Here is a 17,057-nt window from a genome sequence, read left to right on the forward strand (position 1 = left end):
CTGCTCCCACATTTCATAGTAAACAGGTAGGAAAAGTGAATGACTTGTCTTTCCACTTCATAGGTCTCCAGTCCAGAAAGGGCCTGTCCAGACCCGCTGAGGACCACTGGACACCACCCACAATGGAGAGACCACCTAGATCGCCAGGGCAGCCGTAGCACTTCCGGCAGGACTGGTGGGAACTTCAGGTAGGACTGGCGGGAACTTCAGGTGGGAGAGAGAGAATGTTCTTCATACGTGAGGGGAAGAAGCTTGACCTTGGGATGGCCATGTGATGTCAGCACTGGTCAGTTACTTCTGGTTTCTCTACTCTGGGAGGGTGGCAGTGTGGTAGGCGGGTCCCCAGGAAACAGACTCAGATTCAGACCCTAGCAGGCAGGAGGCTCATCGTGAAGTTCCCTTGGGGTCAAGGGTCATGGAAAGGAGGCAGCAGAGGATGGCACAGGGAGAGAGACGGCAGCCTTGAGCCCCCATGGAGAGAGAGAACCATCCCATCACGCTTGGCCCAAACAGCCATGCCTGACCTTCCCTAGGGGTCGTTCAGGCCTCCTCTGCGGCAGGTGCTCTCTGGGAGCACCTGCCTGTTACACACAGATCTTTGCACCTCCTGCCCACTCCCCCACGTCCAACCCATGCCTCATCCCTGACTGCCCATCCCCACTCTCCACATCGCTCCCATTCTGGGTTCAGCCGGCAAAGTCGTTGGCCATTGCCCATGGGTTCAGAGATCTTCTAACCTCACAGCCACTTACACAGAGGGGATGACCACTGGGAGAATGTTCCCTCATCACCCTCTGTGTTAGTCCGTTCTCACATTGCTATAAAGATACTACCCAAGACTGGGTAATTTATAAAGAAAAGAGGTTTCATTGACTCACAGTTCTGCATGGCTGGGGACGCCTCAGGAAACTTACAATCATGGCGGAAGGGGAAGCAGGCACGTCTTACGTGGTGGTGGGTGAGAAAGACAAGTGCAAGCAGGGGAATTGCCAGACACTTATAAAACCATCAGATCTCATGAGAACTCCTTCACTATCACGAGAACAGCATGGGGAAAACAGCCCCCATGATCCAATCACTTCCCATCAGGTCTCACCCTCATCACCTGGGGATTACAGTTCAAGATGAGATTTGGGTGGGGACACAGAGCCAAACCATATCACCCTCTTTAAAGGGCAGCTTGCTGAGACTGGAGTATGGCAGCCAGGCGATTTGGGCTGGCCCCACAGGCAGAGCAGACACCTCCATGAACTGAGGCCGGGCTTGTCCCTCCCTCCTCAGTTCACCAGAAGGTTCCTCCACTGGGGCTGTGGGGACTGCTGTGGAGGGTGGGGGGGGGTACTGGGCAGCTGCCGCTGCTTGGCCTCCTGCTCCTGCTTCTGCTGCTGCCACACGCACACTCCCACCTGTGATGGGTTATTTCTGAGTCCCCAACCTCATGACCCAGGGGTGAGACAGAATCCAGCTCATCTGAGCAGTTCCACATGCACAATCAGGTATTCCATCACCCCAGGCCCCAGGAGCACATCAACAGGGACTTTTCAGAATTTTTCGCAGAATCCTCTGCCGCAGATGGCACGGCTTTGTTTCTGAATCCCAGGGGCCTGCACTGTGATTCTGGCATAGTGGTTTGCCATAAACACACAGCATTGCTTTCCCACGTCTGATACCTCTCATAACACAGGGTCCGACCAGCTGCAGGGCCTGAGTCACAGGGCTGCCAGCACTGCAGCCTCGACCTGCTGCAGGCTCAGGGAAGGCCGACAGCTTCTCCTATCAATGGTACATAGGCTGGAGTAGTCTTCATGTGTGTGGAACGTGCTGCCTCCAGAAGGCGTACTGGCATTGTCTGTCTCTCTTGGTCATGGGAGATGCAAGATGCAGTAATTGGCTCTTTGCTGTGGACAGGAGGCCCAGTATGCTCCTGGTTATGGGATATGGGACCTCCCCACCAAGAGTGTTATTAGTGGCAGTTCCCAGAATCTTTGTAGGATTTGTCTGCCAGCTGCAGGCACTCAGGCATCTTACCAAGACTCCCAGTGTGTTAGCTGCTTCTTGGTTAGCACCCGGCCAGCGCAATGTAATCAATGTGGTGGGCCAGTGCCATGCTCTTTGGGATATCCAGCTTGTCCAGTTCTCTCTGGGCTTCCTTAGGGCATAGAATACATGGTTTATTAGCACATAACACTGAGGCAAAGCCAAGGTCCACTGTTATTCATCCTATGTGAAGGCAGGCTCTTTCGGATGCTCTTTCCTCGTAGGAATAGAAAAGAATGCACTTGCCATCTCAGTGGGGCAGAGCACACACCTGAGGCTGTGTTGATCCACCTTGACCGAGATCCCGCGCCTGGCAGGGCAGCTGCCGCTGTGGATTCTCCTTGGTGCAGCTTGCTGAAGTCCACTGTCTTCCTCCAGGAGTCTCCTATTTCTGCAGAGGCCAGCCTGGTAAATTAAATAGAGATACATTGAAGACCACCACCCCTATCCTTCAGCTCCTTAAGAGTAAAACTGAGTCACAACAGCTTGCATAAATCCTGTTTAAACATTTCAACTTACATAATCCTATCAACTTTTCATTTGTATGCTGTGGTCCTATTAGGGGTGGAAAATATCTGAGTCTCATGGTACCACATATGTTACCAGTGGAGGTATCCGAGTTATTGGCAGTGAATCCTTATGGGTCTGCAGCAACCTCAATTCTTGCCTCCTCAGAAGAAAGAATTAGACTGAGGGGCATAAGGCAAAAAAAGACACCAAGGCAACTTTCAGAAGAGGAATGGAAGTTTCTTTCAAAAGGCTTTAGAACAGGAAAGAGGCCGGGTGTTGTGGCTCACGCCTGTAATCCCAGCACTTTGGGAGGCCGAGGCGGGTGGATCACGAGGTCAGGAGATCGAGACCTTCCTGGCTAACACAGTGAAACCCCGTCTCTACTAAAAATACAAAAATTAGCCGGGCGTGGTGGTGGGCGCCTGTAGTCCCAGCTACTCGGGAGGCTGAGGCAGGAGAATGGCGTGAACCCGGGAGGCGGAGCTTGCAGTGAGCCGAGATCGCACCACTGCACTCCAGCCTGGGCGACAGAGTGGGACTCCGTCTCAAAAAAAAAAGAACAGGAAAGAAAGAAAACACACTTGGGAGAGACCCAAGTGGAAGGTCGAGTGCAGTGGTCGACCTAGGTTAACCATGATCCTAGGACTTTCCAGGCTGGCCCCTTTCCCATGGTTCTTCCCTTAGGATGGGCTGCCCGCATGCACATGCCCCCCTTACCCTTGGGAGGTGAGCACACACAGTGTGTTTAGGAAGTGGTACGCATGCCCCTCTGAGGCTTTCTTCCCTTTTCCTGTGGTGTGCCCCTGGAAGGTCACATTCTGCCATTTTGTTTCTTAATGCACATGGCTGGGAAGGTGCTTCTCCCTGGCGCCTGCATTCAGTGAACACTTTAGTGCAACAGGTGTAGACCATCAGGAAATGGCCTCTCACTGGTGCCGGCTGCCAATTTATCCCTTTTAGAGAGACAATGTGATCATTGCCAAAGCATCACCTGACGTTCCTAGTGGGTGGGAGAAGAGCTCTCTCCTCCCTCTGCTCATGAGTGTCTAACTATACCTGTAACAGCACCAGGAACTTCTTTTTTCAACCCCCAGACCATTCTTCCCTCTCTTGTAAAAAAGATTTAGGTTCCCAGCAGGGGCTGAGCCAAGGGTCTCTCTTGCCAAACTTTAATCTGGACTTATCTGCATCAGCGTTGCCCTAGGTAACTATTGCTCAGCTTTCTCATTGCAATCTTTGCCCTCTGATTTTTTTTTTTAATTTATCCAATCTGGGATAAATACAGAAAACTGGTTTGGGGCCCTTTAACATTGTGGGGGCCAGTGGAGGCTTCCTTTGGTTCACCCAACTTTTGACAGCATTGATTAAGACCTTTGTTTCTGCTGGGCGTGGTGGCTCACACCTGTAATCCCAGCACTTTGGAAGGCTGAGGTGGGTGAATCATTTAAGGTCAGGAGTTTGAGACCATCCTGGCCAACATGGCAAAACCCTGTCTCTACTAAAAAATACAAAAAAATTAGCAGGGCATGTTGGTGCACGCCTATAGTCCCAGCTACTCGGGAAGCTGAGGCAAACGACTTGCTTGAACCTGGGAGGCTGAGGTTGCAGTGAGCAGCTGAGATTGTGCAGTGCCAGCCTGGGCAACAGAGCAAGACTAAATCTCAAAAAAAAAAAGAAAAACTTTTATTTTAACTCCATCAATTTCCATTTTATTCTTTTGCCGCTATAAGATATTTGAAGAGATTTATTCTGTGCCAAATCTGAGTGACCATGGCCTGTGACACAGCCCTCAGGAGTTCCTGAGAACATGTGCCCAAGGTGGTCGGGGCACAGCTTGTTTTTATATATTTTAGGGAGGCATGAGACATCAATCAAATACATTTAAGAAATACATTGGTTTGGTTCAGAGAGGCGGGACAACTCAAAGCGGGGCCTTCCAGGCTATAGGTAAATTTAAACATTTTCTGGTTGACAATTGGTTGAGTTTATCTGAAGACCTGGGATCAATGGAAAGGAATGTTTAGGTTAAGGTAAAGGATTGTGGAGACCAAGTTTTATTGTGCAGAGGAATCGCTCAGATAGCAGACTTCAGAGAGAGAGAGAGCAGGTTGTAAAATGTTTCTTTTCAGACCTAAAAGGGTGCCTGGCTCTTAGTTGATTATCTCCGGGATCTGGAAAAAAAGGGAAGGAAAACAAAGTGGGAAGGGCATTCTCTATAGAATGCGGATTTTTCCCACAAGAGACTTTGCAGGGCAATTTCAAGGTATGGCAAGGAAATATATTTTGGGGTTAAATATTTTTTTCCTTGTCTCATAATGTTATGCCAGAGTCAGATTGAAAGTAAGTCACAATATATAGGGTTAAATAAAACCCACCTGATAAGAATTTATGGTTTGTAGGGCATGATTCCCCAGACCCCTTAAGTAGGAATTTGGGCAAGATAAAAAATAAGAAAAAATAAGTCCTCCATTCATTCCATTTCTTAGTAATTATCTAAAGATTGCCACCCTGGGATAAGCCCCAAGACTCTCTCGTCTTTCCTCTTAGCCTCATCTATCAATTTTTAAAAATTTATTTACCTTATTTTTATTTTATTTTTTATTTTTTATTTTTTTGAGACGGAGTTTCGCTCTTTCACCCAGGCTGGAGTGAAGTGGCGTGATCTCAGCTCACTACAACCTCCGTCCCCCCGGGTTCAAGTGATTCTCCTTCCTCAGCCTCCTGAGTAGCTGGGATTATAGGCACCTGCCACCACGCCCGGCTAATTTTTGTGTGTGTGTTTATTTTTAGTAGAGATGGGGTTTCTCCATGTTGGCCAGGCTGGTCTTGAATTCCTGACCTCAGGTGATCCACCTGCCTCGGCCTCCCAAAGTGCTAGGATTACAGGCGTGAGCCACCACGGTACCTGGCCTATTTACCTTATTTTTAAATAACCATTTAAAAATGTCCACTTCCCTTTGATGGATTCTGACTCTTCCTTTTGCCTTTCCCCTGCTCTTAACTAACCTCATGTTTTTATCAGCATCTGTAAGACCCATGAGAAGAAACCAGCTGCTTCATCTGAGGTGCTGCACTTGGCATTTATATTGGAGTCAGACCGTCCCTTCTCAGGGTAAACAGACCTTCCAGTGCCTTTTATCCGGTTCCCCAGGCTGGCTGCTCCCTCAGGAATACTCTCCTGTGTGTCTGGATTGTGTATACCCAGCTGCATTGTTCAGTGGTGAGTGTGGGTCCTGCATCAACCCAAACATGCTCTTTCCCTCTGCAGCATTTTAAACCAGAGACACTGCTCCCAAATTAGTCACTCTCACAATCCATTTTCATAAAGGTTCTTCAGGGAGCTGATGATCCAGATCTACAAAATGGAACAATTCCTTCACACGCCCCTCTAGTTTCAATAGTCGCTTGCTTTTTCCCTTCCCGAACATTGACTATCTTCTTGGTAACTACAGGTCTCAAAGGTAATTTCTTTTGTTCCTGGCATAATTTTCCCGTTTGTGGGTAGCTTTGAGGCTGGTGATCTGAGCTCAGACAGACTCACATCTGAGCTCAGACAGACCCAGATCTGAGCTTGGTCCAGCCCCAAGGCCCAACCCAGCATTCTCTTCCTTTCATTTTGAAACAATCTTTAAATATCCTCTATTCTACATAAAATTGCTTTTCCTTTCAGCAAAAACCACGTTTTTATAACCTTTACCAAACACACTCTGAGTAATCCCAATTTCTGCTGAAAACCCTAGGATTAATTTAACATAACATGACTTTAAGATCTTAAATTCCTGAAGAGAATTTTGAAACTGGTTTTATTTACCATAGATTACCAAAATCACATGTGCTAAAAGGCATTCGAGCTACCATCTATTTTTCTGATAAAATATTTGATTTAAGCATGTAAATGTTCTCCTTCATATATTTTGGTAGTGCTGGGAATGCAAAATGCTTGTTCCCTGGTGCCATAAAGAAATAGCACTTGAGGGCTGGGCGTGGTGGCTCATGCCTATAATCCCAGCACTTTGGGAGGCCGAGGGGGGCGGATCATGAGGTCAGGAGATTGAGACCATCCTGGCTAACACGGTGAAACCCCATCTCTACTAAAAATATACAAAATTAGCTGGGCATGGTGGTGGGCGCCTGTAGTCCCAGCTACTCAGGAGGCTGAGGCAGGAGAATGGTGTGAACCCGGGAAGCGGAGTTTGCAGTCAGCCAAGATCGCGCCACTGCACTCCAGCCTGGGCGACACAGCGAGACTCCATCTCAAAAAAAAAAAAAAAAAAGAAATATCACTTGAACATAAATTTAATTCTCTCAGCAAGGCAATTTTCACTTTCTGCAGAAAGGGTACACTCACCAGCAGTCTTGCCACAAGAGTACACCAAACAAAGGAAAAGCAGATGTATTTATCCCTTACGTATTTGGGTCATCCTTACTGCTGTGTCCTGCATCCATTGGCTGGAGCCGAACCTCACAGTCTAAACTGACACTCGACTTGCTAACAACCTAAAACTTTCTTAAATAGGTAAAGGCAAAGGGAGAACAAAGGAAAGGAGGAAGTTGCTTATGAAAGATTTAAAGAAGCAATAACATTTCCAAATAAGGAAGGGGCATAGGCTGTGAGCTGGAACGTGCCTGTGAGCATGTCCAACAGCTACATAGGATAGGGCTTAACAAAGAGTTATTAGCACAAAGCAAGGAGGCTTGAAGAAAGTCAGTCTTTAAAAGAAACTATTATTTCTAACACTTATGATTTATTCTTTAACAGGAAGGGAAACTTTGAAGAGGAAACTTTTTACTTTCTACAGTAGCGAAGTGTCACATACGCATGACACATATGTAGACGTAGCAGACACAGCAGCAGATCTTATACATTTAATAAGATTTTTCTTTTGCCATTTTTTAAAGATTCTCCCTCACTTTAGACTATTAATCTCTTGATTTCCTGTTTCATGCCCTAAACAAATGTTAGGGAGAAAATTCTAAATCTGCATCTCCCAAGACAGGACTCTGGGGAAACAGGTAGAAAGGAACAGAACTTCAATCTAAGCAAAAGCAAGGTCTGTTATGTAGACTTTAAGCCATTGTCTTCTCCATAGAGAAAGTTTCTAGTGGTTTCAGTACGGAGACAGACACGCCCTTACAAATGGAGATTCCCTCTAAAGATGTACATTTCCTTTACAAAGCGTGTTGAAGGCTGATTCGTTGGATAGGCGGTCTTTTCAATTTAGCTTGTTTCTTAATTAGATTACTGGCTTTAAGGTAGAGCCCTTTAAGGACCAGGACCAAGAAAGCATGCAGGTTTTAGGACCTAAACCACGACTTTCTTATTCAAACGTGCAAACACCCAAGTACCCCCGTATCAATGATCGTTTCCATTGCACGACTGTCCTGAGCCACCTCCAACACTATGGCTTTCACCCGCCATCAACCACCAGCCATCACACACATCAAGGTCAAGTCCTCTCACAGTGCCAAGCAGTCTCTAGTGCCCTACAAACAGCCAGCGAGCCCAGTAACACAGTACAAGAGAGCAGAGCCCTAGACCTGAGGGGAACCTGTCTGCTTACAACCTAGGATGCCACGAGGAAAAACAGGTTCCTCCCAAAGAGAGGAGACTGGTGCCTTTTCCCTGTTCCCCAAGGATCCTAGGCTGTCAGAAATTTCCTTGTTTAGGTCCTCATGTGTCATTGAAGGTTGCAAGAGGAAAGAGGGACAGACAGAAGCAAACAGAGAAACAGACAGGGTTCTCGACTGAGAAGTTTTACAGAGAGCAGAGGCCGTAAAGCAATAAGCAAGCCGGGCGCAGTGGTGCAAGCCTGTAATCCCAGCACTTTGGGAGGCTGAAGTGGGTGAATCACCTGAGGTCAGGGGTTCGAGACCAGCCTGACCAACATGGTGAAACCCAACTCTACTAAAAATACAAAAATTAGCCGGGCATGGTGGCGGACGCCTGTAGTCCCAGCTACTCTGGAGGCTGAGGCAGGAGAATTGCTTGAACTTGGGAGACGGAGGTGCAGTGAGCCAAGATCTCACCACTGTACTCTAGCCTCTAGCCCGGGTGATGGAGCAAGACTCCGTCTAAAAAAAAAAAAAAAATAGCAATAAGCAATAGGCGTGAACACATATACAACCCACATGGCAGATTGAACCAAGTTACCTTTTGACTGCCAAGCTCTTTTAAAAACCTTTTCCCAGTTGTAATTCCTACCAAAGCCATTTTACTTTGCCTCTGCTGCTGGCTGGGCTCCATCACCAAACAGGCAGCCCCTAGAAGCAGCCATCCACAGCAGTAGCTGCTCACCACCCTTCCTTACCGCTATGTGATGGATGGCTCTCAGCTAATGATTGCTTTAAGCATGCCAGCAGTTTAGGGACATCACTGCATTCACACACATGCACCTAAAAGGCGAACCATGCTGCTCCACGTGGAAGTGGCTGCTGCCTGGGATTTCTCCCACAGATGCTTCATTCCCTTTGCACATTTCTTGGTCTCTCAGTCCACGTTTTACAGTGGGCAGGTCTAGGCAAACCAGCCCCAAAGTCCAAAGAAGCTGAGAAGCTGACACATTGAGTTTCTTAGAAATGTTTCATACGGACTTACAAAGAGAAGCCATGGCTGTGTCTCAGGTGGCAACGAGATGAGATGGTGGATCCCTACCCCTCAGCCCCAGACCCAGAGCTTATATAGCACAGGGAGGAGTGGTTCAGAAGGAATGTGCAGGATGATTGAAGGATGATAATGTCAAGGTTGTTTGACCTAAGGGCAGGACCTACAGTAAGTAGCTGCTCTTACACAGGGAGTGGTAGATAAACTGGAAATCTTAGAGGCCTCCTCAGAATGTTAATCATAAGCCAATGTAAACCAAAAATAAAATTCTAAGTCCCCCAGCCATCTGAATGAATGCCTCCTCTTGGCCAAGGGCATTCCAAAGTTAACCTGAAAAGCTAGTTCAGGCTGTGATGGGAATCAGGAGCCAGACATACCTTATTATCCCCTCCTCCCTTTTGGCATTACTAATAGAACTGGTGAACAAAAGGAGTCAAACTCTGTAAAATATTTGAAGAGATTTATTCTGAGCCAAATATGAGTGACCAGTGGTCCGTGACGCAGCCCTTGGGAAATCCTGAGAACACGTGCCCAAGGTAGTCAGGGTGCAGCTTGGTTTTATACATTTTAGGGAGACATGAGACATCAATCAAATATATTTAAGAAATATGTTGGGGCTGGGTGTGGTGGCTCACACCTGTAATCCCAGCATTTTGGGAGGCCGAGGTAGGGGGATCATCTGAGGTCAGGAGTTTGAAACCAGCCTGACTAACATGCTGAAACCCCATCTCTACTAAAAATACAAAGAAAAAAAAAAATTAGCCGGGCGTAATGGCAGGCACCTGTAATCCCAGCTACTCGGGAGGCTGAGGCAGGAGAATCACTTGAACCCAGGAGGCGGAGGTTGCAGTGAGCCGAGATTCCGCCATTGTACTCCAGCCTGGGTGACAGAGTGAGACTCCGTCTCAAAAAAAAAAAAAAAAGAAAGAAAAAAATAAAAGAAACACATTGGTTCAGTCCAGAAAGGTGGAACAACTTGAAGCTCAGGGGTTGGGTGGTTATAGGTAGATTAAACATTTTCTGATTGGCAGTTGGTTGAAAGAGTTAGCAATAGAAAGGAATGTCTGGGTTATGATAAGGGGTTGTGAAGAACAAAGTTTTTTTATCGTGCAGATGAAGCCTCTAGGTAGCAGGCTTCAGAGAGAATAGACTTAAATGTTTCTTATCAGACTTAAGGTCTGTGTTGATATCCATGCTGGCGGGTACAATGAGGCACGTCTGACCCCCACTTCCTGTAATGGCCTAAACCAGTCTTTCAGGTTAAATTTAGAATGCCATGGCCTAGAAGGAAGTCCATTCAGATGGTTGGGTGGCCTTCAAATTTTATTTTTGGTTTATAGAACAGAATTTTTAAGTCTAATAAGAAACATTTACAATCTATTGTCTCTGAAGGCTGCTACCTGGAGGCTTCACCTATGGTCTCCACAACCCCTTATCTTCACCCAGACATTCCTAAGTCTTTCAACAGTAACTTAACTCTTTCAACCGACTGCCAATCAGAAAATCTTTGAATCTACCTATGACCTGGAAGCCCCCACCTTCCAGTTGTTCCACCTTTCCACACCAAACCAATGTACATCTTCCATTTATTTGAATAATGTTTCATGTCTCCCATGACCACCTTGCACCCAGACCACCTTGAACGCATGTTCTCAGAACCTTCTAGGGCTGTGTCACAGGCCATGGTAACTCATATTTGGTTCAGAATAAATCTCTTCAAACATTTTAGAGTTTGACTCTTCATCAACACCAATATATTAGTCCTTTCTCACACTGCTATAAAGATACTACCTGATGCTGGGTAATTTATAAACAAAGGAGGTTTCATTGACTCACAGTTCCACATGGCTGCGGAGGCCTCAGGAAACTTACAATCATAGTGGAAGGTGAAGGGGAAGCAAGGCACAACTTACATGGCAGCAGGAGAGAGAATGAAGAGCGAACTGCTACTTATCAACTATCAGATCTTATGAAAACTCACTCACTATCATAAGAACAGCATGGGGGAAATTGCCCCCATGATCCAATCACCTCCCACCAGGTCCCTCCCTCAACACGTGGGGATTGCAATTCGAGATCAGATTTGGGTGAGACACAGAGCCAAACCGTATCAACCAACATGGCAGATTAGCATCCAGGCTGGAGCTGCTGTGGCCTCCACAACCCTCTGTCTCAGTGCCATAATCTCTGGTGTATAAGAAAGATTTATGTTATTTCTCATTCATACTCCATGTGCACTGCGGTAGTTTTGGGGGCTTTTCTCTCACTCTGGGATCCACCCTAATGAAACAGCCACCACCTTAAAGGTTGAAAGAGACCACGCCTCAGGGAATGAGACCTCTGATGCACATTACCTGTGCTCACAGCTCATTGGCCACAGCAGCCATGTGACCGCACCCAACCACAAAGCTGCACAGCTCATTGGCCACAGCAGCCATGTGACCACACCCAACCACAAAGCTGCACTTGTATGAGGGCAAGACCAACTTCTTCAAAGCCAGTCACTCAAAGGGGATTCCTTAGAAAGGAATTCCCCAGGGTTGGTTGTCAACACTGGCTAGGACTTCCAGTACAATCTTACTCAGAAGCAGGAAGAGCAGCCATCATTGCCTCAAAGGAACATTTCACTTTTAATTATGATGGTTTCTGTAGGTTTTGGGGCATATATTTAATCAGATTAAAGAACTTCCATTATAGTCTAGTTCACTAAGAGTCCTTTTTTAAAATTACAAGTGTACATTGATTTTTTTCATGCCTTTTTCCTAATCTGAGATGGTTTAATCCTGCCTTTAATAGTTATAAAACTATTCACATTTCATTTATTATTAATTTTGGTAAGTATATTTCTGTTGTATATTTGTTTTCTATTTCAATAATTTCTGTTTTTTTCCTTCCTTCTACTTTGTTTGTATTTGTTTTTGTTCTAACTTCTTTCTTTTTTTGAAACTAGGTCTTGCTCTGTTGCCCAGGCTGGAGTGCAGTGTCACAATCATGGCTCACTGTGGCCTCCACCTCCCAGGTTTAAGCAATCCTCCTACATACCTATATATGTGTGTATATGTATAATAGAATGAAAATATAACGAATTTAGAATTGTTATATCTTCCCGGTGAATAAAGCATCCTTCTTTGTCTCTAATATATTTGTCTCCAATAATTTTATGCCTAAAGTCAATTTTGTCTGATATTAGCATATGTACATTAGCTTTCTTTTTCTGAGTATTGCCACATTATGCTTTTTCCATTATTTTATTTTAAGTCACTTTTATTCTTACGTTTTCGGTATTGTGGAATGCAGCAAAGCAATGCCTAGAGAGAAATATTGATCTTAAATGCATTTCTTCAGTTTAAAATTTTTTCTTAATCAATATTTTTTCAAGTATTTTTTCTGAGCATTCTTTTCCACTTCTCCTTTTCAGACTCCAGTAAATAGTTTTTAAAACTTCTCACAGTATCTTCTATGTTTTTTACCACCTCTTTTGAATGTTCAATTTTTATGTCCCTATCCATGCTTGATTCTGGATAGTTTCTTTTTTTTTTTTTTTTTTAAGACAGAGTCTCACTGTCGCCCAGGCTGGAGTGCAGTGGCATGATCTCGGCTCACTGCAACCTCCACCTCTCAGGTTCAAGGGATTCTTTTGCCTCAGCATTCTGAGTAGCCGGGATTACAGGCGTAAGCCACCACATCTGGCTAATTTTTTAAAATATATTTTTGGTAGAGACAGGATTTCACCATGTGGACCAGGCTGGTCTGGAACTCCTGACCTCAAGTGATCCACCCACCTCGGCCTCCCAAAGTGCTGGGATTACAGGTGTGAGCCACCGTGCCAGGCCTGGATAATTTCTTTTATCCATTTTCAAGTTCACTAATTTTCTTATTAGCTGGCCCAATGTTCTGTTAAACCCATCCATTGAGTTCTTAATTTCAAAATTATATATTGCAGTTCTTAAATTTGTATATGAACTTTTTCAAATCTGTCATGTCTTTCTAAAATAGTTTAACGGTCTTACCTATTTAAAAGCTTTACCTGGTTGGCTGGGCACAGTGGCTCATGCCTGTAATCCCAGCACTTTGGGAGGCCAAGGCAGGCGGTCTCAAGTTCAGGTCAGGAACTCCTGAGGTCAGGAGTTCAAGACCAGCCTGGCCAACATGGCAAAACCCCATCTCTAGTAAAAATATGAAAATTAGCCGGGCATGGTGGCATGTACTTGTAATCCCACCTACTTGGGAGGCTGAAGCAGGAGAATCACTTGAACCCTGGGGTCAAAAGTTGCAGTGAGCCGAGATCACCCCACTGCACTCCAGCATGGGTGACAAAGTGAGACTCTGCCTCAAAAAAAATTAAAATAAAATAAAAAGAAAAGCTTTACCTGGTTAATTTCAGTATCTGGAGCCCATGATGGTTGAATTTTATTGTCCTCGTTTCTGTGGATTCTTGTCCACACTGTCTTTTCTTTTTGTGTGTTTGCTTATTTTAGATTGTGTGCTAGACATTGTATTTGGAAAAAAAAATACATTTTGTGGACACAATCTGCTGATACACTCTTTCTCTGCAAATTTTTTGTAACTACCAAGCAACTGGGTATATTCACAATCTGGAATCATCTTAATCTAATTTTAGAAATTGAGATTTTTCTGGACCCTCGAGATATCTAAAAACTGAAATAAAGTTATTGAAATGATTTGTCTATTTCCGGCTTTTTTTTTTTCCTTAGATGTAATTCTTCAAAGTCCTAATGTGAAGAAGAAGGGTTGCTAAGACCCCCACCCTCAAAATTGGAGTGTCTCAGATGCTAAATTTTGTCCTTTATTCCTACAGAATGGCAAAAACATATGGCTCCACCTCTTAACCATCTCTTCCATGACTAAAAAAACACTCCCAAGGAAAAATTGCCCCAAATGCTGGGTTCATTTGCCTGAATTTTTATCTTCTTCCTCATGTTGGCCCAGTAGTTTTTTGCTATCTCACTAGCCCATCAGTATTCAAGTATTTTTTTTTTTTAAGTATTTTGTTCAAAAGTTTCTGGCTATCTGCCAAAAGAAGGTTGGTCCATATTGCTTAGTTCACCATTACTAGAAAGAGAAGCTTTATACTGTCATGCTCAGTAGAAATTTAAAAATAGCTCATCTTCTTCTGACACCAATACATCATAGCTTCGTATTTTCTCACTTTGACAGCCTGGTTATGCTGTTCTATACTCTTGAATACAAGTGGGAAAAAACAATTTGGTCAAACTTTTTAAAAAGTTTGGATGCTTGAGCACAGACTAACCAAAAAGTCTGAATATGATGCATTCCAAAGATTCTGAGTCCACGGGTTGTCTAGAGTTCAGAATGCATGTTTCCATGCCTGACAGGCCAACCCACAGGAACCCCTCATGGGGCTGAGCTACGGAGGCTACAGCAGTGGCCCAAATTCTGTGTTATGGAAGCAGCAGGTACAGATAGAAAGAGAACTACAGGAGAAAGAAATGTGCCCCCTCTCATGCTAGGGCCCTCACGCATGAAGGACCCCAGGAGAAAATGTCAGACAGGCCTTCCCTGGGGTTGGCATGTGCCCGCTGTATTAGTCTGTTCTTACACTGCTATAAAGAACTACCTGAGACTGGGTAATTTATGAAAAAAAGCAGTTGAATTGACTCATAGTTCTGCAGGCTGTATAGGAAGCATGGCTGGGAGCGCCGCAGGAAACTTACAATTATGGCAGAAGAGTGAAGGGGAAGCAAGCACCTTCTTCACGTGGCAGAGCAGGAGGAAGAGAATGAAGTTGGGGGCTGGTCGTGCTAGGCACTTTTAAACAACCAGGTCTTGGAAGAACTCTATCAAGAGACAGCACCGGGGGATGGTACTAAACTATTAGAAACCACGCCATGATCCAGTCACCTCCCACCAGGCCCCACCTCCAACACTGGAGAATTATAATTCAACATGGATTTGGGTAGGGACACAGAGCCAAACCACATCACCCACCTCTCTGCATTCTGAGCACACTGCTTCCCTTATTCCAAACTCTCCAGGTGCCCTGGGCCTTCCTGAGGTGCTCGGGACCCAATGAAGGGTCCCCATCCACCCTGTCCTCCCTGCTCAAAGTGCCCCATGCTCCCAAATCCAACCGTTCCCTCCAATAATAAAACCTCAAATTCTCTCCTTGCTGGCCACCTCCGTTCAGAGTTGAGGGAGGGAAGAAACTGCAAACTCATACTAATCCCCTGCCAGTTTGTCTTAGTTTTCAAAGTGACTCTTCTTATAACAGGTGTAACAAGTGAATTGATCATTTCGGGCAAGGAAACAGAGCAGAGAGGAAGCCTGAAGGCAAAGTTGGGGAACCGATGTGGAGGCAACAGTTAGAGAGAAGGTCATTGAGGAGAGGGCACTTCCACTGCCGCCTCCCTCAGCGGGGTCCTGCCTTTCCAGCCCCTCTCCCTCCAAATCCCAGGATTCTCTCAGCGCCAGGGCCAGGGATTTACTTCCAGTGGTTCTGGGGGTGTCCATGTGGTATTAAGGAGCCACAACTGACAGAGGAGATGGGATAGGGGCACTTGGGGGCTGCCCTGAGGCTCCTGGGACTTACTGGATTTATGAGGATTTATGAGAATTTAGGAACTAGGCATCCATAACCCTAGGAGTCTCTGGACTCATATTTTTAAGATTTTTGCCTCAGATAAATAAAATATTTTTATAGGCTACAACGTTGCTGCTTTTTTTCTGTTCTTTAAATCATCAGTTTAAAAATAAATTGCATTCAAGTTTTCATTCCTGGCAGGGTGCAGGGTTAAGCCGCCTACATTTGACTTTAACAGATGATTTCATTGCACTCAATTTTTTTATAAAACAGAAAACCTTCCTAGGTTGTTGCAACCACAAAGAGGAGGCTACTATATAAGAAGGTAAAGGATTCTTAACACACCGCAGAGCCGCACAGGTCTTTGTCGTTAGCCAAGCTGGATCCTGGCAACCACCTAGGACAGTCAACGTGGGGTTTTCTATTTTACAGGTGAAGAAAATGAGGCTTTCCGGTCTGGCTGCTCATCCAGGGCCCTGGTTCCCAGTACAGCGGGCCACGCTGGGCTAGGGTATTATCTGTGTGTCTGCATAACCCCCTCCCGTGGTTGACAGAGTTTGTCTGATCAAAGCATCTTTAGTGGAAAACCACACTCACCACAGGGCTATTTTCACACACCCAAACTTCGGAATACATTTTTTTTCCAGAGAGGACTTCTCTGGGACAAAGTAACACTTTTACATCCCACTGCTGGTCTGGGCAGTCAACTCCCTGATGTCTCGGTTTCTGAACATACCTTGGCAAACTCCAAGAGGAGTCCAGGCGAGAGGAATGGTCCTGTGTAGGCAGAGACGCCCCAGGCAGTGCCGGAGCTGAGCTTCCCAGGCAGACCCTGTTGCCCTGGATCTCACCCCGGGTCTAGCCCTGCTGGCAGACCTGTGAGGTGTTCCTGAATTGGGTTCAGATGTCCCCCCAGACCAGCCCTCTTACAGGCAAAGCCTGTCCCAATGCTGGCCCGTACCTGTTGTCACAGGACCTGAGCTTTAGGGGATTTCGCAATTTCAGATGAGGAAGCTGATTAATGAGTGGCTCAGAACATGGAGGACGCTGGGAGCAGAGCCGAGCAAGGCAACCTGCAGCCCGTTCCTGCCCCATCAGATGCGCCTCGGGGCTTGGGGCTGCACGTAGTCACACGCAGTACACACACACACCACACATACATCACACACCACACACACACTACACACACATCACACACCACACACCACATACACACACCACATACCACATACACCACACACCACACACAGTACACACACACCACACACCACACACACATCAAACACCACACACACTACACGCACACCACACACCACATACACACACACCACACACATACCACACACC

At 45.8% G+C, this 17,057-nt stretch overlaps 1 long non-coding RNA gene across 1 annotated transcript, besides 1 other annotated feature; it reads right to left on the minus strand.

Annotated features, from left to right (window-relative positions):
- Window positions 1–997: 997 nt before the first annotated feature.
- Window positions 998–16,689, minus strand: LINC01671 (long intergenic non-protein coding RNA 1671). The gene is made up of 2 exons (NR_131192.1): window positions 16,447–16,689; window positions 998–2,442 (listed from the first exon to the last, which is right to left on the minus strand). It is a non-coding gene; the product is annotated as a long intergenic non-protein coding RNA 1671 (long non-coding RNA).
- Window positions 11,499–11,699: a silencer, noted in NCBI's record as "peak4415 fragment used in MPRA reporter construct". NCBI's record gives its function as "represses an SCP1 promoter by STARR-seq MPRAs in K562 erythroleukemia cells {active_cell/tissue: K562}" and the evidence as "EXISTENCE:reporter gene assay evidence [ECO:0000049][PMID:32103011]".
- Window positions 16,690–17,057: the final 368 nt, after the last annotated feature.

This window comes from Homo sapiens, chromosome 21 (assembly GCF_000001405.40).
Source record: "Homo sapiens chromosome 21, GRCh38.p14 Primary Assembly".
Classification (NCBI taxonomy): Eukaryota; Metazoa; Chordata; class Mammalia; order Primates; family Hominidae; genus Homo; species Homo sapiens.